General features: G+C 39.4%; 1 protein-coding gene across 2 annotated transcripts in view, besides 1 other annotated feature; it reads right to left on the minus strand.

The window, feature by feature from the left end:
• RAPGEF5 (Rap guanine nucleotide exchange factor 5) overlaps positions 1–22817 on the minus strand; it is a 238919-nt gene that overhangs the window by 106813 nt on the left and 109289 nt on the right. For both annotated transcript variants that reach the window (NM_012294.5, XM_017012837.3), the window contains one exon: positions 5798–5871. In NM_012294.5, coding sequence (NP_036426.4) covers positions 5798–5871 — 74 coding nt within the window. The remainder of the gene's footprint in view (positions 1–5797; positions 5872–22817) is intronic.
• Positions 17168–17668: an enhancer, noted in NCBI's record as "H3K27ac hESC enhancer chr7:22281835-22282335 (GRCh37/hg19 assembly coordinates)". NCBI's record gives its function as "activates a minimal SCP1, AML or CMV promoter by ChIP-STARR-seq in primed H9 embryonic stem cells {active_cell/tissue: H9 hESC(primed)}" and the evidence as "EXISTENCE:reporter gene assay evidence [ECO:0000049][PMID:30033119]".

Raw genomic sequence — 22817 nt, forward strand, 5'->3', positions numbered from 1 at the left:
TTGGGAGGCCAAAGCAGGAGGATTGCTTGAGCCCAGGAGTTAGAGGCTGCAGTGAGCTATGATCACACCAATGCACTCCAGCCTGGGCAAAAGAGTGAGACTCTGTTTCTCTCTAAAAATAGTAATAAATAAATATGTAAATAAAATGAACTTCCCTTTCAGGAGGAAACATTTTCATTACAACCAGATACTTGGGCCCACGAAGCAAATATGTATTTTAAAGGCAAAATGCTCTTACTTTTTAAAATGGGCTTCAGGCTAACTTATTTCTTTAATTCTCCATCTTATAATTAAAGAGAAAATATTGCTGTTTTGATTTTCTGGTTTCTAAATAACTTCTAGATGCATTTTCACAAGGTAATCAATTCTATAGCATTCCTTATATTACAACTATCAAAAAAGATTTTCAAGGAGGTTATGAATGCTTCTTCATTCACTGGGAGACTTTAAACCCATATATCCCAGATGATTTATAAGGCAGTGCTATGCGGAAGCATCATGCCAAACTAGATGTTCCTCAGGGTCCCTTTCAGAGCTCCATAATTTAGTGATTTAATTCAAGAAACCCATGAATTTATTAATATATTGTGGGAGCTTTGCTATGGCAGGAGAAGCAAGATAACTAACAGTCCTTGATCTAGACTTTCACATCCCTGGTCTATTTAATTTCTCTGTGTAAAATTAATTATAAACAATTTACCTAACACTGCTAAGCCAGAAAAAAAATAAAAGATTAATGTATAACTGTCAGAAGAGTTATTTAGGAGCTTTATTTCAAGGTCTGTTTTGAAAAAAAGTCTCCATAATGTATAATTAAAGTTATTCATAGGATTTTCAGCCTTTGAGGAGAGAAATGTTATGAATGTAAACGAAAAGCCTGTTTCCTTTATAAATGTAGTCATAAAAATGTTGGGTCCATCCCCTCAATGGCAGAATGAAGCGTGGACAAGATTCCTGTGGGAAAGGCCACATGGATGATAAATGAGCATCTTACTGGGACAAAAGCACAGTTCTTTGTATTAAAACATTCTCTGCATTATCTTAACTTTAACAACCACTTTTTCTAAAACACCTAGGTAAAACATGCTGCAAAAATTGCTTATCAAGGTCAGGGAAACCAGAAAGAAAGAGTCCACCTTTCATGAAAGCACTTTTGCAATAACAGAATGCTATTCAGTTCAAATTCAGGATATTCAGATAAATTTTTATTGATTACTATGTAATATCTTAATTTCATTAAAAATTAAGCCTAGAAGTTCATATAATTTTTTTGCTATTTTAAACAGAAATATAAATGACAGAATAAAACACTGATGAGCTTAGATGATAAATTATTCTACTGTATGCACCTTATTTTGAAAACAGAAAATATTAAGAATTTTTTTCCAGGAAAATTCAGAAGACAGTTCATAGTCAAAAAATAATAATAATTTTAGGGCAACAAATATTCATTTTCTCAAATTTCTTCAGAGAAAAAAGTTAGACTATGAAAAAGCTCTCCCTGTTAGGGATAGAAGAATATGCCCCCTTGAGAATTGGGAAATGAACCACGAAGCATCCACAGTGAGAAATGTACCTAATGGAAAGTGTGATAGTCAAGGCAGGTGAGGAATCCCTAGGGAGTCACTGGTATGGGCCTCGAACACCATGCTGGGGCATCAGGGAGCTTTAGAAATCATTTCATAATTCCTAGCCCGTCACTGTCCAGGCAAGGCAATGGACATTCAGTTTCTCTGGTCCTACTCCTTTGTGGAATTCCTTGTGTTAAAACATCACCTTTGTATAGGATGGACAGACCCATACTATAGAAATACTGTGTAATGCTGCATCCTGCCAGAGCATGCTGAGAGCTAGGAATAAGGCAGAAACCACACTTACATGAAATTTATGCTGTTATTTCCCTCAAGTACTTTCTTAATCTTTTGTATTTAGAAAATTATCCCTTCTGATTAAAATCAAAATATAGAATTATAAATTTACATAATATATAGTATTATAAATTTATATAATTGAAAAAGTAAGGGGTTCATTCACTTCACATGCTTGATTCCTTTAACGTTCAGACTAAAGTAGGGGGGCCACCAATATTTTCTCTTGTTTTGACCTAAGAGAAATTATAGCTCAGACTTGTATACATTCTTGACCACACTGGTAAGCAGGGTAGCAAAGTTAAAAAAAAAAATTAAAAAGTTAAAAAAGAGAATAAGCAAACTCGAATAATATCAAACATAAAAGATTTAACAGGATAATCAATTTTCTTTGACAGTATTAAATAAGAGCTTTCTTTAGTATGCATATTTTTAAAAGTTATAGTCTGACTACTGATAAATTAGTTACCAAATATTTAGCAGTTAATTTGTATAACAAATAATTATTATCACTTAATAATAGAATGATTGATTCAAATGGAGGATAGGAGACAATGAAAATATTCACTGAATCCAGTGGCCAATGGCTAATGGAATCAAAGCAAGAATTTCCAAAGTTCAATATATTATAAATTACTCAAGGCCAAGTGTAGTGGCTAACGCCTGTAATCTCGGTACCTGGGGAGGCTGAGGTGGGCAGACTGCTTGAGCCCAGGAGTCAGAGGTCAGCCTGGGCAACATAGCAAAACCACATCTCTACAAAAAAATACAAAAAATTAGCTGGATATGGTGGTGTGCACCTGTTGTCCCAGCTACTCAAGAGGCTGAGGTGGGAGGATCACTTGAGCCCAGGAGGTTGAGGCTGCAGCGAGCCATGATCGTGCCACTGCACTCCAGCCTGGGTGACAGAGTAAGACCCTGTTGCAATCAATCAATCAGTCAATTAATAACTAATTAAAGATCTCATTAGAATTCTTAAAAGCTAGAACCAGGCAAATTTTCAGTACATTTTGACAAAGATTCTTAAATCCTTTTATCCTATAATACAGTGAAGGGACTAGAATATTTTGTGTCTGCAAAGATACCATCTGGCAGAGAGTAATGCTGCAACTTGGCCCAGTTAGATACTTTAAATATTCCAACCAAAAAGCAATGAGATAGATGGTCAGCGTGACAATAACTGACAGAGGCTGATTTGTTGGGTGCTTACTGTGTGTCAGGTGCTGTTCTAATTGCTTCACATGTAGTCCTTTAATCTTCAGAACAATCTAACAATTATTTCCATTTTACAGAGGTTAGAAAGGCAGTTTGCATGCTGTTTAAAGCAAGGACATCAGAACCAGACTGCCCTGGTTTCAGACCTGGCCCCGTCCCTTACCGGCACATCTATAAAGTGGTAGTAATTAAACTATCTATCCTGGAGGGTTTGCTGTGATGTTTAAATACATTAATAAAAACAAAGAACCTTAGAGTGTCTAATATATATGAAGTGCTGCCTAAGTGTTATATACAATAATACTGCTCCCAGTATTATTACAGAAAAGGAGGGTAGGAGCACAAGAGAGTTAACTTGCCCAAAGGTTTTTTGTTTTGCTTTGTTTTCTTTTTTGAGATGGAGTCTCGCCCTGTCACCCAGGCTGGAGTGCAATGGCAGGATTTTGGCTCACTGAAACCTCCGCCTCCCGGGTTCAAATGATTCTCCTGCTTCGGCCTCCCAAGTAGCTGGGATTACAGGCACCTGCTACCACGCCCAGCTAATTTTTTTTTTTTTTTTTTTAAGTAGAGACAGGGTTTCACCATGTTGTCCAGGCTGGTCTCAAACTCCTGACTTCACGATCCACCTGCCTTGGCCTCCCAAAGTGCTGGGATTACGGGTGCGAGCCACCACGACTGTTACTCGCCCAAGGTTACTGTGCCAGTCAGGAAAAGAATCCAGGCAGTGTGGCCCCAGAGGCAGCGCCCCTAGTCTTTACATTATGCTGCCCAACATTTACTGAAACTCTCCTATGTGCCGGGATTGCCAGGAGTGTTTTATGTTGCTTCATTTCAACCTCAGGACAAGCTTATAATATCTCCATTTTGCAGAGATGAAAACCATGCATGCTAGGTACTGTCTAGCATAGTGGGGACACCATGGGGACAAAGACTTAGGCGACCTACAGGATCTTCCAGGTTTACAGCCACTAAGGAACATCCCTTAAGGAAGAAGGGCTGGCAGGTAAACCCAACTCTAAATGCTCTCTTCACTCCACCCACATGTGACAGCATTAAAACAGGGAGTTTCTTAAGCAGAAAAGGTATTTTTAGTGAGAGTAAGAAAAAAGCAGCCAACATATGAGAGATCTCTGGTAGATGGGAAGCCTGTGTACAACAAGGCCAAGTCTGTCTGGGCTTAGTAACCATCTTAACCTTTTATAGACCCAAAGTTTTCAGCAGCCTAGAGGCACATTCCCCACGGTAACATATTTCATCATCTATGCGGAAGAAGGAATCAGAATCCACTTAACTTGCTTAAAATATGCTCTGGAATGAAGACTGAAGTAATCTGAAATACTGTGAAGCCTGGCAAATAGGTGCTCAAGCCATTAAATGTATATACATCAATCAAATAAATTGTACATATAAATTACACACATACGTACATACCAATGAGCATACATTTTTATTTCTAATTCTGCCTATGTATCTGATGGCAAAATTCTAAGTTTTCTTTAAGCTCACCTCGCATGACTTGAACTACTTATTCCATCCAGAGAACTTATATAGACGGGCCTGCAGAATTAAACCAATAAAACTGGTGTTTCCACTACGGTAGCAGATCAAGCTTTCTTAGACACACCAGAGGAGGTGACAACTGCCTTCCTTCCTAACCAGCTTAGGCCTATAACACTCATAATGATGCCATGCTGCCCAGTGAACTTAATTCAACTTTCAAACCTAAGTAGAATCTGTTCCTAATCTAATTATCAATCTACTGGTTTCATGATTTCATCCCTCTGTATGTCCTACAGATACACAGTTATATAATCATTGCTGAATAAAAATCACAAAATCCTGAACAGTAAGGTCTGTGTATCCTTTTGAGAAATAAAATTGCATTCAAACAGACATTTACCCATAGAATAAGTTCAGAACAAATAAAGAATAACAGTATTTTAAATTTAGAAACCCTTGTCCCACTAGTAATTTAAGGATTTAAGAAACTTGGAGAAAGTGGTAAATACACTGAGCTGGGGAATCCCTGCACAGGTTTGCTTGGAAGCCTGCAGTATAATTTTAATATGAACTTGAGGACTGTTCCATGTTTAATATTACCACAGCAAAACAATGTGACTTTATTAAAACATTACTGTCCATGCAATCTTTATTGAAAAAGTTAATGTGATTCTTCTGACCAGAATCAACAGATTTGTAACCTTAAAGGCGAAGTGAGATGAGTCAACTAGGCTAAGTCAGAATTTTAAAATGCTCCACTGTTATATAAAGTTAACAGCTGGCAGCACTAGGGTGTCCAAAGTTTTTATGGTGCAATAGTATTTGGAGGTATGCTACCTAAAGCATATTCATGCCGTGATTTAGCTACTGGGAGGTAGCACAGAACCTCTAGCAAGTTGGTGCTGTCAGCTGGCCCATTCTCCACTGCCTTCTTCAGGGGAATGTCTGCCCTTCACTCATTTCCCTTGCTTCCTCTGGGAAGTAAAGTGTGTCTATCTGACCCTCTCCCATGAATCAAATTATAAATATAATTACCAATTTAGGACCCTTTGTGTGAAATACCTTTATATCAAAACTGAGCACTTTATTCCCAATAACATGGCTATTTACAAAACATAAAAGGTAAAACCTATATCATTTTTTAACACCTGCACTGTCTCACCACCCTCAACACAGAAGGGTATGATGAGGGGCTGTCACAGAATTGATCATACCTGAGAATCTGGAACACTTTCGGCTTCTGTTACAGCTACATGTTTGTCGTTGTTTTCTTCATCTTGTTCAATTGCTTAAAAAAAAGAACACCATTAAACAAATGTATCATCATACAAAAAATGCTTCAGATAATTTTCTTTCAGATCGCAATTTAGCGGGAAAAAATGTTAGATAGATTCACAAAATGTAAACATTGGCATTATTTTTTGTTAATCAAATGTGAAGTTAGCTAATAGCACTGGGTACTTCTCCTGCATATTATCTCATGTATTAAATCAATGGCAGTGAGAAAATTCAATCTTAATTCTGTTCTTCACCTAAACCCATCCTGACATCACCATATCAGCATTGTGCTTTACCAAAAGGGCAGCTGTGGGTATAAGATGAAGACTTTTATTCATTTCATATAAGAACAGCCATATATTTTTTTTAATGTGGCTTTCTGGCTGGCAGTTTAAATGTCATATAATAAAGGAAGCACAGTATTTATATCTGGGTTGCTCAGTGCATTGTTACCACAAAATTCCATATTGTGGAGTCTTGAATCCGTATATCCCTTCCCAGCATCTCCCTATCCAAGCCCTTATCACCCTTTCTTCATGGGTACAATGACCTCTTACACAAAGCCCTGACTCCAGCCTCTCACTAATCCAATCCAGCTTGGGAACAATGCTAAAATAATCAGTCTCAAAAAATATAAAAACAAGTGCCAGACTTTGGCTTATGTATTGCTTATCTCATGGCATCTGAACTTCTCCTGCTCATCACTGAAGGGCTTCTCTGAACTCTCTAGCTTCCTCCAAATGTCCAATTTCACACTGACATTCAACACCAAAATGTATTTTACATAACTGGGATCCACACATAATGACTGGATTACTTTTCTCTTTAGATAACTTATTCTTCTGTTTTAACAAATATTTACGGAGCAGCTATTATGTCCATAGCAGGAGATGTGACATTCAACAAGCCTGGAGAGAGTAGAGACCACAATAAATTCAGATCTAAGCCTAAGAACACGGGGAACCACGAAAGAATTTTAAATTGGGAAGTGCATGATTTGATGCATATTTTTAAAAGTTCTTTTTTGCTTCTTTGGGAGAACAGACTTGAGAGAAACAAGAGCGGAAGCAGGGAGACCAGTTAGGTGACTGTTGCTGTAATGTTGCCTGCAGATGACAATGACTCAGATCAGGGAAGTGGCAATGAGCAGGAGAAACATGGAACACTGGAGCTATATTTTTTTAGACAAAATGGACACAACTTGCCAATGAATTGAATATGGAGAGAGAAAAAAGAGATGAAGGAGAAGCAATCAAGGATGACTCCTAAATAGTTATTCCTTGTATCCATCATGCCATTTATGCTTTTTGCCCTCTTCATCAAAAGTAGGCCAAAGCATACCAACCTAGCTGACAGTGAGGTCACCCACTGTACTTATTGATTCAGTTTACATTATTCTGTGTGCTTTTTTTTTTTTTTTTTGAGATGAAGTCTTCACTCTTTTTGCCCAGGCTGGAGTGCAGTGGCACAATCTTGGCTCACTGCAACCTCCACCTCCCGGGTTCAAGCGATTCTCCTGCCTCACTTAGCCTCCCGAGTGGCTGGGATTACAGGCGTGCACTACCATGCCCAGATAATTTTTGTATTTTTAATAGAGACAGGGTTTCACCATGTTGGCCAGGCTGGTCTCAAACTCCTGACCTCAAGTGATTTGCCTGCCTTGGCCTCCCAAAGTGCTGGGATTACAAGGTGTGAGCCACCACGCTTGGCCTGTGTACTTTTAAATATTGTGCTCTCTGCTCTGTATTTTTTAAAATATCATTTCATGTACTTTTTGCTTTTGTATGCCATTCATGCCTGCTGTGTGGTGCCCACCATGGAGCCTACCTATAATGCTGTGCATACAGTAGGGCTCTGCAAATGCTAACTGGCATGAACAATGTATCCCCAAGTGATCAAAACTGCACTGCTTGACTATGCCTACTTATATAATAAGCTACTTCTTTTGTAACTTTATGAAAGAAGAAAAGAGAGAAATTCTTCTGTTCACGCTTTGGATAACTAGGATAACTCTGACCAGCTGAGCATCTAAAGGCAAGGTAGGAAGAGGTGAAGAGGGTAGAAGCTTTTCTTCTATTTTTCAGAGAAAAGTTCCATTCATGCCTGTTCAAAGGGGGTTCCCTGTTGCTACTGTTGCCCAGCTAGGAGGAAACTTAAGAACAAAGAAAAACATGCGTGTTTTCTCTGAAAAACTAGAGGCAAGACTATAAAGGGAAAAATAAAACATAGAATAACATCCTAAATTCCACTTAAAAATGCAATGGGCTATAGAAGTAAGGAACTCCACTTAACCAACTGAAATAACAGAAGAAGCCTTTCCTCATCCTGGAATGCAGAGTAATTTTCTTGGAGGGCAAGCTGATCATATACTAATGTGAAATAACTTCACATAAAAAGCAACCATACTTTGGCACTTCATTTGTGCTTTATTTGAATTTTTGCTCTTTAAAGTGCTAATTTCAATGAAAATGAAGAAAATTAAATTTCAGAATATTTTAGCCTACTGAATTCATGTTTTTGGTTTTAAAACAACAATGCTGTAGGGTGTAGGCATTTCTTTTTCTTACCTTATTATACTAGAACATAGAACATGCAGGACACTAAATAATAATTTCAGATTGACAGTTAACACACTTTTTTAGAGGCAGGGTCTCCCTCTGTCACCCAGGCTGGAGTACAGTTGCACGATCATGCCTCACTGCATGCTGGACTTCTTGGGCTCAAGCAATCCTCCCGTCTCGGCCTCCCAAAATGCTGAAATTACAGGTATGAGCCACCTCACCTGGCCTCACACTACATTTTAAGCTTTAGGAATAATTCTTAATACATAGAAATAGAACTAAAGGAGGAATAGATGAACATAAAAGCAAACCTAGGATAAAGTGTCAGTCCTGTATTTATTTCTAGCTTATCCCCAACAACAATGCTATGTTTATTGTCACATCTTTAAAGACCTCAAAATCGGTTGCCTAGCATTACGCCAAAACTAACAGGGTGAGAATTAGAAACACAAGCAAGTTAAGGGACTTGGCAAAGCTAACTCTGTAAGCTAAATCTGCATAATGGACAAACTCTCAAAGTTCTGCTGGACTCAACCTCAACCCCCTAATGACAAAGAGAAGACAGCGTAAATAACATTATTTTCTTGGAAATAGGAAAAATTATAATTCCAAGAATGCATCTTGGGAGCAAAAGTGTATTTATCCTAGACAAGGATTTATGATTATCCTATGAAGTTGCATGCATAAAATATATATGGTCCCCTAAAAGGGAGAACTCTGTTGACCCTTTAGTTCATAGATTAATGTCAAAAAATAAATAAAAACACAATTTCTCTCTTTATGCCTTCCAGTGGTGTGGCTCATGTGGTGGGAAAAGGAGGAAGGAGTTATTTAGATTTTTGAGTTCAATTTTTCTTTTATCTGATCAGAATAAGAGTTGGTTGGGGAAAATTTCCTATGCAAATATTGATTCTGGGACAGTTCCCTCCAGCGAAACACGTACACAGGAATGACAGCTTCTGGGACCGAGGGAGGCTAGGAGCTTCACTCTCTGCCAACACAAACCATCTCCTTATCTCTCAACACACAGAGTCTAAAAGCAAGTAATGGCCTTTGAAAATAACTTACCATAACAAAAGATACAAGTGCAAGATCTAAAGCATATGCTTTGAGTGGTGAGCATTAGTGCCCACAGGAGAACTAAGCATGTATGTGGATTAATTAACAGATTCGTTAAGGGTACCTAGTTTAAATGTATCTATTTGTAAATTAGCCAAGAGGGATTCAAGGTGAATGAGTGTTGAAAGCCTCCTAGGATTGTGGGGCTTAACTTGATAGTGCTTTCTTGTTGCCTTGGGGACAAAACAGGTTTTCTCTCCCCAGGACTTACTAGGATGGGTGCTAAAATGCAAACAAACAAACAAACAACAACAACAAAAAACAACTCTGTCAGTAACTCTATTATAATAATAATACTTAAACACAAAGGGGACTCATGTCCTTTCTAAATGATGTTATTTAATTTCTGCTGATCAACTTTGTAAAGGTAAGAGCCCCACTAACAAGAAAACATTAAACACACAATGACTGTCGTGTGCTGACTCTCATCAGGACCATTATTTAAAAATCAACCAACCCATTTCTTTAAAAAAATCTTACAAACCAACCCCAAAGATGACTACAGATAGAAACTGAGCATTTCAAGCCTCAATGTGAGACATCAGCAAATAGTTAAGAAAAATAACTTATTGGGTACTCTGCCAAGAACTAAAGTTTTGTCAGTAATATAATCTTTCACCTGTGTAGCATTTTTACAGAGAGAAAACTCTTTCATTAAGGGTCTCATCTGATGTTCAACCTGAAATGCTGGGCAGATAAAATCACCCCCATTTTACAGATGAGGAAACTGAGACTAGTGAGGTGAAGTAATCTGCCTTAGGCCTCAAATGTAAAATGTACGTGTCGGTGACAGTTCATCACTGCTACAGTCAAGGATGGAACAGAACAGGGCTGGTCAAACTGCACATCAGCAAATCCATTCACATGGATCCTGACCAGGGTTTCTTTTCCCTCTTAATGAAATAGAACAGAATATCATAGGAAGAATAGAAAAATAAAGATCAAAATGTTTTGCAACTAGTAAAGTATTTTTCACAAGTATGGAAGAGAGGTGTACTAGGTCGGAATCTTTTACATGTTCTGTGGGTTGTGGACATAAAAATGTTAGGAAAACACCATAGTGTTTCCAGGCCACAGGAGGCAGAGCCCAGTTCTTCATTATCTAAATAATCAGCTATTTTTTGTACCATCCTGGAGTGGGGTCACAATATTTACTTTTGGAGGCCCTTCAACAATACTCCAACCACATTCAGCCCTGGGAGATGGCACAGAAACAAGCCTGCAGTGAGAAATGTTTAGACACTATACTCATTTTTGCTATCAATATATATAATCATAAATGCTTCCAAATACTCAAATCTTTTCCATTCTTTAAAAAGGAAGAAAAAAGGTAATTGTAACATTTCTGCCTCATCACTGTATTTTTTTAGTGTTAAAATTAGAAAAGTAGGGGTCAGTGTTCACCATAAAGCCACTCCATATGGTATTATAACCTGGCCCATCCAGTGCCATTGAACTTCTCTTTGAAGGTGGACCAATGACCACTACATCTCTGCTCCAGCGTGTTTTCTCAACCCCAATCTGTTCAGCTGAACTTGAGACTGTTGACTTAAAACTCTCTTTTCTGTGTCCCTATCATCCTCAAATCTTCTAAAAATGCAAGCTTTCCCCAGGCTCTCTTTTCTCTCTTTGCCTCTTTCCTTGGTGATCTTATCTGTTACTAGGGTTTCAACTTTCACTGCAATACAGTTTATTCTCAAATCTGTCTCCATTTCTGCCCACTTCTCTGAGTTCCAGGCCCACATTTCCAGTCACGAGTTGAATATTTTCATTTCACAGATGGTAACATGTCTGCTACATACAAGCTGCTGTGATAGGTGTAGTGGCACAATCTGCACCTCAAGAAAGAGTAATTGATTTAATACGGCGTGAGGACACGAAGGTCTGAAATCACAAGCATCTTCCTGCTCCTGGGATATTTCAGTTTAGATCACCACCAAGTACTGAAGCTACAAATCTCAGGCACCTTCATGGTCCTCCTTCCCCTGAGCCTTCACCTCAATCTCTCCCTAAATCCTGTCACTTCTACCTCTGGAATGATTCCACCTGTCATCCTCTCTGCCATGGTCACATCTCATGTAGGCTGCTACGGCATGGCCTCTCCCTCCATCCATTCTCCACACAATTGCCGGAGTTCCATCCCCAGAATGGAAGTCTGATCAAGCCATCCCCCTATCCTGCCTATGCCTGCTTAGAGCACATGAGGGTCACACGGAGATAAATACCAATTCAGGCTCCATAGCCCCATCCCCAGTGTCTCTGATGCCATGGGACTTAGCTCAGGGATGTGCAGGTTTGAAAGCTCTGATACCTGTGATCCCCACTCTATTGAACACTGGCCAATGTTCAGGTGGAAGCCCTCAACCTGGCCTCAAAGGCCAGGCCATTAGGTCTTGGACCCTCTCCCCAGGTGCTGCATCTCTTCCTTTGTACATTTCTTTGTCTCTAACCTGGAATGCCCTTGTCCCTGCCTTCACCAGGTGAAATTACTCTTGTCCACCGGGCTCCCCAGCCCAAACACCAGCTCCTTAATGAAGAGTCTTCTGAGTCCTCATTCTCTGCATCTATGGCCCCTGACAAAATGAAGAGTGCTTCCTCCTAGCCCAACAAAGCTCTTTTTCTGTACACTTGATATTTTTTAGTCAGCAACACAAATATCTGTCTTTGCTAACCTACATTATGAGTTCTTCGAGAGGACAGAGTATATATTTTCATATTCCCAGTGAAACTGACCCAATAGTCCCATAGATAGTTTTTGTTGTTGTTGTTGCTGTTTTTTTTTTTTTGGATAAACATAGAAATTGACCCTTCTGGTCTTAAAGCTTGAGACTTATATTTGTTTTATCTGAGTTCTTTCCTCAGGAAACAACCTTTAGGCTTCTCAAAAAAAAAAAAAAAAATCAAAAGAATTGAAACTTACCAGATCACTGCATCCAGACATGACAGGCCAGACCCTTCATTCATCCTGATTGCTTCCTTTCCCCTCCCTAGTTTCTGCTTTCTTATACCTGTTACATTTCTTCCCTGCTATATTAGCCCCTAGTTTTAGTTGGTCAGGGAAATGGATTTGAGACTGAGCTCCCAACTCCTCCGCTGCAGCACCTAATTAAAGCCTTCTTCCTTGGCAATAATCCTCGTCTCAGAGATTGGCTTTCTGTGTGGTGAGCAGCAGGACCTAGATTAAACCCCTCATGTTTCAGTAATACCAGCACCTGGAATAATTTCTAGAACACAGAGGTACTAAGTAATGGTCTACTGAACTGAACAAAGGTAGTCAATTCAGACAGTAATAATTATAAGACAGATATAAATAGAGCAAAATGTCAATGCAGTTTGTGGGGAGGGGGTTAACATCATGAAAGGCATCCAGGAAAATGCGGATTCTGATAGGTAAATGAGAAAAGGGGAGAAATGCAGTCGAGAGCTGGCATAAACAAACGTAAACTGAAGAAACCCCTGGGATCTGACATGGGAGCAGGAAGTAGATCATAATTGGAAAATGTTAGAAAACCTCTGGTAGAGGTCCTGGCAAGACTGCACTGAGCCGTGTGGCCATTGAGGGCAGGTTAATAATTTGATACCTCTTTGTGCCAACATTTGTTAAATATCTGTTCAGCATTTACTTATTAGGGCTAGTGAAAAATCAAATTTCTATTAATAAAAGGTGAATACCATTTCTTGGAATTTAGCAATTCACTTTTCTCGAATTATCTCAATTAGGAATTTTTCTGATACTTTAAAAATTATTTTGTAAATTGTAAATTGACAAATTGTAGTTGTGTTTATTTTCTGACACTCATAATTTTTCCAACACACTAAGGAGAGAGGTAAAGCACATACATGGATAAAATCACATTGCCCAGACCCAGCAACACCCCATGCGTGATCTGGTTTCAGAAATGTCACTACTCACCAACCAAAGCCAACTAGTCTATAGGCTGGTGGCGTTGCCTTGTTAGGCCTTGAGCAATGACATTATGCTCACTGAAAAAGAATACCTCAGTCATTACACAAGCTCAACAAGGAGTATTTATAACTTTTCAGTAAGTGAGATCAACTTCCTTGGCCAAAGCAGAATCCATTTACATTTGACAGTTATATGATTCTTCATTTAAAAAATGAGTTAAATGGGAGCATATATCCATTATACCAGTGATGTTGTAAGGCAGGTGTGTGGTTGGTCCTCTCCTTAATCAGATTCCAAGATTATGCTCACTTTACAGATGGAAAAACTGAGGCTGAGAGATGTCAGATAGTTTGCACAGAATTATACAGGAAGTGAGTAAAGGAGACAGTTAAGTACACTCAGGTCTGACACTATCTGTACCAATATGTTTTAAAGATTAAATAGCCTAAAATAAATTGAACAGAAATGAGGCTGAAAACAAACAAAAAAAAGCAGGAGCTTTATTTCAAACAGTATAAGCATGAACTGACTTAGATTTCCTACTAAGAACTAAGGAATCTGATGTTTAAAGAAGTGATGTTTGATGAGTCAGTGAGGGATGGGGCTGGGATTGCAATGGAAGCTGGCTGCCTTTCAGTTCCCAGGGCCCTGCTATGGAGATGTGCCCAGGTGGGCCTGTGCTGGGAGAGTGGAGGCAGGAGTGGTCACTGGCAGCAATGTCATTAAGGCCGTAATGACTTACACAATTTTAAGTGTTCCTACCCATTGCCTTCCCCCCAAATCCTCCCTAGGCCTTCCAGCCCATGGTTCTATAGAAAAAGATAATAAATGTTTGCTACATGAAAGAAATGTATTATTTTTATTAACGTTTGAATAAAGGTGTGCTGTATGTTCGGGAAAGCCATAGCACTCAGACAGCCCAATAAATCTACTGTGGGGAGACTGAAAGCAGAGGTGGCTGAAAAGCTCCCATCTCCCCCATCAGATACTCCATGCTCAGCACACTTGACAAGGGGCAACTCAAGCCACTGAGAGAGTTCTGGGTGGCCTCGCTCCACCCTCCCTGCTGCCTTACTGATTGCATGATTTATCCCTGCCCTACAGCAGAGAGGACTCCATTTCAACTCTTACATCTTTTTTTTTTTAATAGCTAAGACTCTCCAAGCTTCTCTTCTACTTCTTAATAGGTTTTTACAGTGTTTTCTTTTGATTAAGATTTAATATACGTCCATTCAATGGAAAAGTTATTCAACAGAAAACAATGATAATGTCGTTAGAGCAAAAGGTATCTCATATCGGTTCCTTTAATTAGAGCATAAATACTTATCCCACTGGCTTGGGGTAATACAGAGGTAATCAGTAATTGATACCAGTAGCCCGTTTCATTGCCATTCTTATAAGGAAATGTACTGGAAAAAAGGTTTTTTTTTGGCCGGGTGTGGTGGCTCATGCCTGTAATCCCAGCACTTTGGGAGGCCGAGGCGGGCGGATCACCTGAGGTCAAGAGTTCGAGACCAGCCTGCCCAACATGGCAAAACCCCGTCTCTACTAAAAATACAAAAAATTAGCCAGGAGTGGTGGCGAGTGCCTATAATCCCAGCTACTCAGGAAGCTGAGGCAGGAGAATCACTTGAACCTGGGAAGCAGAGGTTGCAGTGAGCCAAAATCACGCCACTGCACTCCACCCTGGGCATCAGAGCAAGACTCCACCTCAAAAAAAAAAAAAAAAAAAGTTTTCTTTTAATGCAAAGGTGGCTTGTGTATTATCCAACTAAAATAAAACCTTGATAAACAAAAATCAAGTTAACCTTAGCAACAGGTTTGGGTTTTTTTTTTTTCAATATTTTTCTCGAGAGGCAGAAAGGCTTTACTTTTTTCGGTTGTTTGTTTTTTGAGACAGAATCTTGCTCTATCACGCAGGCTGGCATGCAGTGGCGCCATCTCGGCTCACTGTAACCTCCACCTCCCGGGTTCAAGCCATTCTCCTGCCTCAGCCTCCCAAGTAGCTGGGATTACAGGTGCCCACCACCATGCTCGGCTAATTTTTTGTATTTTTAGTAGAGACAGGGTTTCACCATGTTGGCCAGGCTGGTCTTGGACTCCTGACCTCAAGTGATCCGCCTGCCTCAGCCTCTCAAAGTGCTGGGATTACAGGAGTGAGCCACCATGACTAGCCAGCTTTACTTTTTTTTTGTGCCTTTCAATGTTGTGTTCTAGTGACAATACAGATTCAGGTCAATCTGCTATCATCACACAGTAAAATATTGAGCAGCAACGATTCCTAGATATTGCAAAATGTTCATTCACTTAAAAAGATCCTAGTGTACTCCAATACTCTACACAATTTCTCTCAGAAATTAAATTGTAAAAGATTTATTTCAGCCAGCAAAAGAAAAACAACTCTGAGCCTACCTATGTGTCAGTACAAAGCTCTGTGTGCTTTAGGCCATCTCATTTAGCCCCTCCAACAAGCCCCAGAAGCATGTGCCATTAGCTCCATTGTCCAGAATAAGAAAATGAGCCTCTAGAAGTCACTAAGTCATGCCAAGTGGCTAAGCCAGGACTGAACCTGAGTCTTTTGATTTGCTTTTCACAGCTACTTGATGCTGCCATGGGGATTGTAAACCAGAAAACTCAACAGGTCAGGTCTAAAGGACATTCTTGTTAACTAAAGTTTATTGCAGACATCTACATTTTAAAACATTTATTGCAACTTTTTGCCACTTATATTATGCTCATTAAGTTTTTTTGTTTCTGAATTGTCAGTAATTTTACTGCCAAATCTTCCCAGTAGACATTACAGTGGAATTTTAAAACATACAGTGGAGCCACCAAGAATTCCCCAGGTGTCCTTGTGTTTGCAAATACAAGCAGTGACACCAAATGAGCCACTAAATAAATAGAGGGGGCAGGGGCAGTCCAAGATAAGTCCAGGAAATAAGACTGGAAAATTTGCCTTAACCCCCATCAAAACCTATCCTGCTAGAATTTAAAGGAACTTCCTTTTATTATACATTAGGGAAAAATAAAGCATTATTCCTACAATACTTCTTGTACAATTGTTTGTGAAATTACATCAACTCACCAAGTTTCAATTTCATTACTTGTAAACGGGAGATGATAAAAACCTATGGGATGGATGTGTGGAAGGAGGGATGGATTTAAACTACTTAATCAATGTTAGTGACTTTATATTATTATACAAAACATGGTGATATGCTTTTTTGCATTGTTATCTGTGGATGGGATGGTTTTCCTCGTCAGACCCACCTGCCACTGGGGTAGAGTGGAAGATAAGGAATATAAAAACAAAGTCATTAATATTTATATTCCAACACCCAAAGCAGAACTTTGTGGCAAGACAACAGACTTGAAATGGCAGAATCTGTAGAGATTCTGTTACCTTTCTTTGCATATCATGAACCAACTCTTTAAGTCCCAGATCTTGACCTTCTCTCCTGCGATGCTAAGTTGCAGGCTCCTCCCCTAAAGGAGGAAGTCAGGAAGTGACAGGTTGGAAAAGTTCAAGGCTGTCCCCATATTGCATCAAGTAGACTGTGGGAAGAAGGGTGACAAGGCAACAGAAAGGGCAGGTAAAAAGCTATGGGCCTGATCTCCCTTGGCTGGGCTAGGTCTGAGAGGGTGAGGCCAGAGAGATGGCCGAGGGTAAACTGTGGGCAGGGGTGCTGGTTTGCACACAGATCAGTCTTGGCACACAGAGAAGACTGCCCCAAAGTCTGCCCCCAGCACCTCTGGAAGTCAGCAGAGTCACAGCAAGTCAGCAGCTATTTTTCCTGAGTAGCTCTTCTTTCCCAGGATGGGAAGGTTCCTAGCACTTAGCAGTTTCCACATGCCCTGGGGATAGGGACTTGCTATGGAGCCTCCCCTTACAAAAGGCAAAGGTCTGGATGGAGCATGTGGCAGGGAGGCCATAGGGTTTAAGTTCTGCCAATATGGGGTGGGGCAGCCAGAAAGGCCTAGAGACCCTGACCCAGCTGAGAAGGGCCCCTGGTCACCACTCGAATTCACTAGGGCAGAGTGACTGGCATGGTCCATGTGGCTCCAACAATCCCTGCATGCCAGGGAATGAGCGATCCAAAAGTGGGGACTGAAACCAGCCCCAGGAAGCAGCTACATCTTAAACAGACTTTTCATTATGAAAAGAGTTCAAATTGCTGGGCGCGGTGGCTCACGCCTGTAATCCTAGCACTTTGGGAGGCCGAGGCAGGCGGATCACCTGAGGACAGGAGTTCGAGACCAGCCTGACCAACATGGAGAAACTCCATCTCTACTAAAACTACAAAACTGGCCGGGCATGGTTGCTATTTGGGAGGCTGAGGCAGGAGAATCACTTGCAGGAGAATCACTTGAATCCAGGAGGCAGAGGTTGCGGTGAGCCAAGATCACGCCATTGCACTCCAACCTAGGCAACAAGAGTGAAACTCCGTCTCAAAAAAAAAAAAAAAAAAGAAAGAAAGAAAGAAAGAAACAAGAGTTCAAATCAGAAACAACTACAATATTGCTCAGTGACAGTGGGTAGCAACTTGTAAGGACCACAGAGCCACTGTCAAAAATAAAGAACATAGCATTTCCCCTCTACATTTCAGTGCAGTTAATAATTCTGAAAGCCTCTATATTACCATTTTTGAATATCAATGTAAGTACTTACGGCTCACAAAAGAAAGCAATCTCATAAGACTGTCAAATAACGAAACTAAGCCAAAATATATTTGGGGATAAAAAAGTTTTTTTTGTTTGTTTGTTTTTGTTTTGTTCTTGAGACAGAGTCTGACTCAGCCACCCAGGCTGGAGTACAGTGGTGCGATCTCAGCTCACTGCAACCACTGTCTCCCGGATTCAAGTGATTGTCCCAAATCAGCCTCCCGAGTAGCTGGGATTACAGGCACCCACCATCATGCCCAGCTAATTTTTGTATTTTAATAGAGATGGGGTTTCACCATGTTGGCCAGGCTGGTCTTGAACGCCTGACCTCAGGTGATCCACCCGTCTCGGCCTCCCAAAGTGCTAGGATTACAGGCATGAGCCACTGTGCTCAGCCAAAAAAAAATGCTGATAGAGCATTAGTTATCAGCCCAATCTATTTCTTAAGTTTTAATTTTTAATTGACAAATAAGAGTTGTATATATTTATGGGATACAATAGGATGCTTTGATGTATGCATACATTGTGGAATGATTTTAGAATGACTATGTATACATTGTCAAGTGATCATATCAAACTAACATATCCATCACCTTCCATACTTATCATTTTTTTACAGTGAAAACATTGAGAATCTATTCTTTTAGTAATTTTGAAATAGATACTACATTATTATTAACTATAGTCACCGTGCTGTGCAATCGATATGGAAAAGTTAGTCCTCCTATCTAACTGAAATTTTGTACCCTTTGGTCAACATCTCCCCAGTCCTCTCCTACTGCTACCCGCCAAGCCTGTGGTTACTACCTTTCTACTCTCTACTTCCGTAAGTTCTACTTTCTAAGTTCCACTTTCTAAGGTTCCCACACGTAAGTGAGATCATGTAGTATTTCTCTTTCTGTGCCTGGCTTATTTCACTTAGCAAAATGTCCTCCAAGTTTATCCATGTTGTTGCAAATGACATTATTTCCTTCTTTTTCAAGACTGAATAGTATTCTATTGTGTGTGTGTATATATACATATATACACATATACGTGTGTGTGTATATACATATATATATACACACACCATATTTTATTCATTCATCTGTTGATGGACACTTCCGTTGATTCCATATCTCAGCAATTGTGAATACCGTAATGCAGAAGTCTTCAACCCCCACGCCACGGACTGGTGCTGATCCATGGCCTGTTAGGAACCAGGCCACACAGCAGGAGGTGAGCGGTGGGTGAGTGAACATTACCGCCTGAGCTCTACCTCCTGTCGGATCAGTAGCGGCATTAGATTCTCACAGAAGCGTGAACCCTATTGTGAACTGCACATGTGATCTAGGTTGCATGCTCCTTGTGAAAATCTAATGCCCAGTGATTTGTCACTGTCTCCCATCACCCCCAGATGGAATCATCTAGTTGCAGGAAAACAAGCTCAGGTCTTCCACTGATTCTACATTATGGTGAGTTGTATAATTATTTCATTATATATTACAATGTAATAATAATAAAGTGCACAGTAAATAATGTGCTTGAATCATCCTGAAACCATCCCCCTACCCCAGTCCGTAGAAAAACTGTCTCCCATGAAACAGGTCCCTGGTGCCAAAATGGTAGGCGACCGCTGCTGAAATTAAAATGAGAGTGCAGATATCTCTTCAACATACTAATTTCAATTCTTTTGAATAGATACCTGAAGTAGGATTGCTAGGTCATATGGTAATTACATTTCTAGTTTTTTGAGGAAACTCCATATTGTGGTATGGCTGTACTAATTTACATTTCCACCAGCAAAGTACAAGGATTATCTTTTCTTCATATCCTCGTCAATACTTATCTTTCATCTTTTTGCTAATAGCCATTCTAACAAGTAGCAGGTGATAGCTGACTGTGATTTTAATTTGCATTTCTCTCATGAATAGTAATATTGACCACTTTTTGCAGGAACCTGTTGGCTATTTGTATATCTTTGACAAATGTCTATTTAAGTTCTTTGGCCATTTTAAAATCAGGTTTTCTTCCTATCATGTTGTTTCAATTCTTTATATATGTTGGCTATTAACACCTTATCAAATGTGTGGTTTATAAATAATTTTTACCACTCTGCGTGTTGTCTCTTCATTCTGTTAATTACTCCCTTTCTTGTGCAGAAGCTTCTTAGTTTGATGTAATCTCATTTGTCTTTTTTCGCTTTTATTGCTTGTGCTTTTGGGGTCATTTCCACAAAAATCATTGTCTAGACCAATGTTATACAGATTTCCCCCTATGTTTTCTTCTAGAAGTGTACAGTGTAAATTCACACATTTAAGTCTTTAATCTATTTTTCATTTGTTTTTGTATATGGTGTGAGATAGGGGGTCCAATTTCATTCTTCTGCTTGAGGATATCCAGTTTCCCAGCACCAATTAAAGACTGCCCATTTTGTATATTTTTCAAGTCCATGTTGAAGGCACTAAGCCATATTTCCTCTCAAATAAATAAAAGTACATGTATTTTGAATTTCCACATAAACTGAGAAAACCATAGGCTACTTCAACTATTTGGCTTTCTTCTTAAAATATCAACATAACACACTCTTATTCAAGATAGTACTGGAAGCCCATGCCAAGCAATCAGGAAAGAGAAAGAAATAAAAGGCATCCAATTAGGAAAACTATCTCTCTTCACTGATACGATTCTATACCTAGAAAATCTCAAAGGCTCCTGGGACTGATAAGTGGCTTCAGTGGAGTTTCAGGCTACAAAATTGATGTACATAAAACAGTAGCATTTCTATACACCAATAATGTTCAGGAAGAGCGCCAAATCAAGAACACAATCAAATTTACAACAGCCACACAAAAAACAAAATACCTAGGAATACATCTAACTAGAGAGGTGAAAGGTATCTACAAGGACAACTACAGAACACTGCTGAAAGAAATCATAGATGACACACACACACACAAAAATGGAAAAACATGGATTGGAAGAATGAATATCGTTAAAATGGCCATACTGCCCAAAGCAATCTACAGATGCAGTGCCATTCCTATCAAGCTACCATTGTCATTTTTCACAGAACTAGAAAAAACTATTCTAAAATTCATATGGAATAAAAAAAGAGCCCAAATAGCCAAAGCAATCCTAAGCAAAAGGAACAAAGCCAGAAGCCATCATATTCACTGACTTCAAACTATATTATAAGGCTACAGTTACCAAAACAGCATGGTACTGTTACAAAAATAGACACAAAGACCAATGGAACAGAATAGATAACCTAGAAATAAAGCTGCACACCTACACCCATCTGATCTCTGACAAAATCAACAAAAATAAGCAATGGGGAAAGGACTCCCTATTCAATGAATGGTGCTGGGATAACTGCCTAGCCAATATACAAAAGAATGAAATATACCCCTACCTTTTACCATTTATAAAAACCAACAAGATTGATTAAAGATTTAAATGTAAGACGTCAAACTATAAGAATACTAGAAGAAAACCTGGGAAGCACCATTGTGGACATTAGCCTTGGCAAAAAAAAATTATTACTAGGCCTTCAAAAGCAATTGCAGCAAAAACAAAAACTGACAAGTGGGACCTAATTAAACTAAAGAGTTTCTGGACAGCAAAATAAATTATCAACAGAGTAAAGAGACAAACTACAACATGGGGGAAAATATTTGCAAACAGTGCATCTGACAAAGGTCTAATATCCAGAATCTATAAGGAACTTAAACAATTGAACAGGAAAAACAAAACAACCCCATTAAAAAATGAGCAAAATACGTGAACAGACACTTTTCAAAAGAAGACACACAAGCAGCCAATAAACATATGAAGAAATGCTCAACATCACTAATCATCCAAGAAATGTAAATCAAAACTCCAATGAGTTATCATCTGACACCAGTCAGAATGGCTATTACTAAAAAGTCAAAAGACAACAGATGCTGGCAAGACTGCAGAGAAAAGGGAATGCTTGTACACTGTTGGTGAGAATACAAATTAGTTCAGCCACTGTGGAAAGCAGTTTGAAGACTTCTCAAAGAACTTAAAATAGAACTACCATTTGACCCAGCAATCCCATTACTGGGTATATTTCCAAAAGAAAATAAATCGTTCTGCCAAAAAGACACATGCACTCATATGTTTACTGCAGCAGTATTCACAATAGCAAAGACATGGTGATGCGGTTTTGCTGCATCCCCACCCAAATCTCATCTTGAATTGTAGCTCCCATAATCCCCTCGTGTCATGGGAGAGACCCAGAAGGAGGTAACTAAATCATGGAGGTGGGTTTTTCATGTGCTGTTGTTTGTGACAGTAAATAAGTCTCAAGAGATCTGATGGTTTTATAAAGGGCAGTTCCCACACACACTCTCTTGCCTGCTGCCATCTAGGACATGCATTTGCTTCTCCTTCACCTTCTGCCATGATTGTGAGGCCTCCCCATTCATGTGGAACTGTGAGTCCTCCCCATTCATGTGGAACTGTGAGTCCATTAATCCTCTTTTTCTTTATAAATTACCCTGTCTAGGGTATTTCTTCATAGCAGTATGAAAATGCACTAATATAAATAAAACCAACCTAGAGACCCATTAATGGTGGACTGGATAAAAAAAAAAATGGTACATATATACCATGAAATACTATGCAGCCATAAAAATAATGAAATAATGTCCTTTGTAGCAATATGGTTGCAGCTGGAGGCCATTATACTACGTGAATTAA

This window comes from Homo sapiens, chromosome 7, assembly GCF_000001405.40.
Source record: "Homo sapiens chromosome 7, GRCh38.p14 Primary Assembly".
In the NCBI taxonomy this organism is placed as follows: Eukaryota; Metazoa; Chordata; class Mammalia; order Primates; family Hominidae; genus Homo; species Homo sapiens.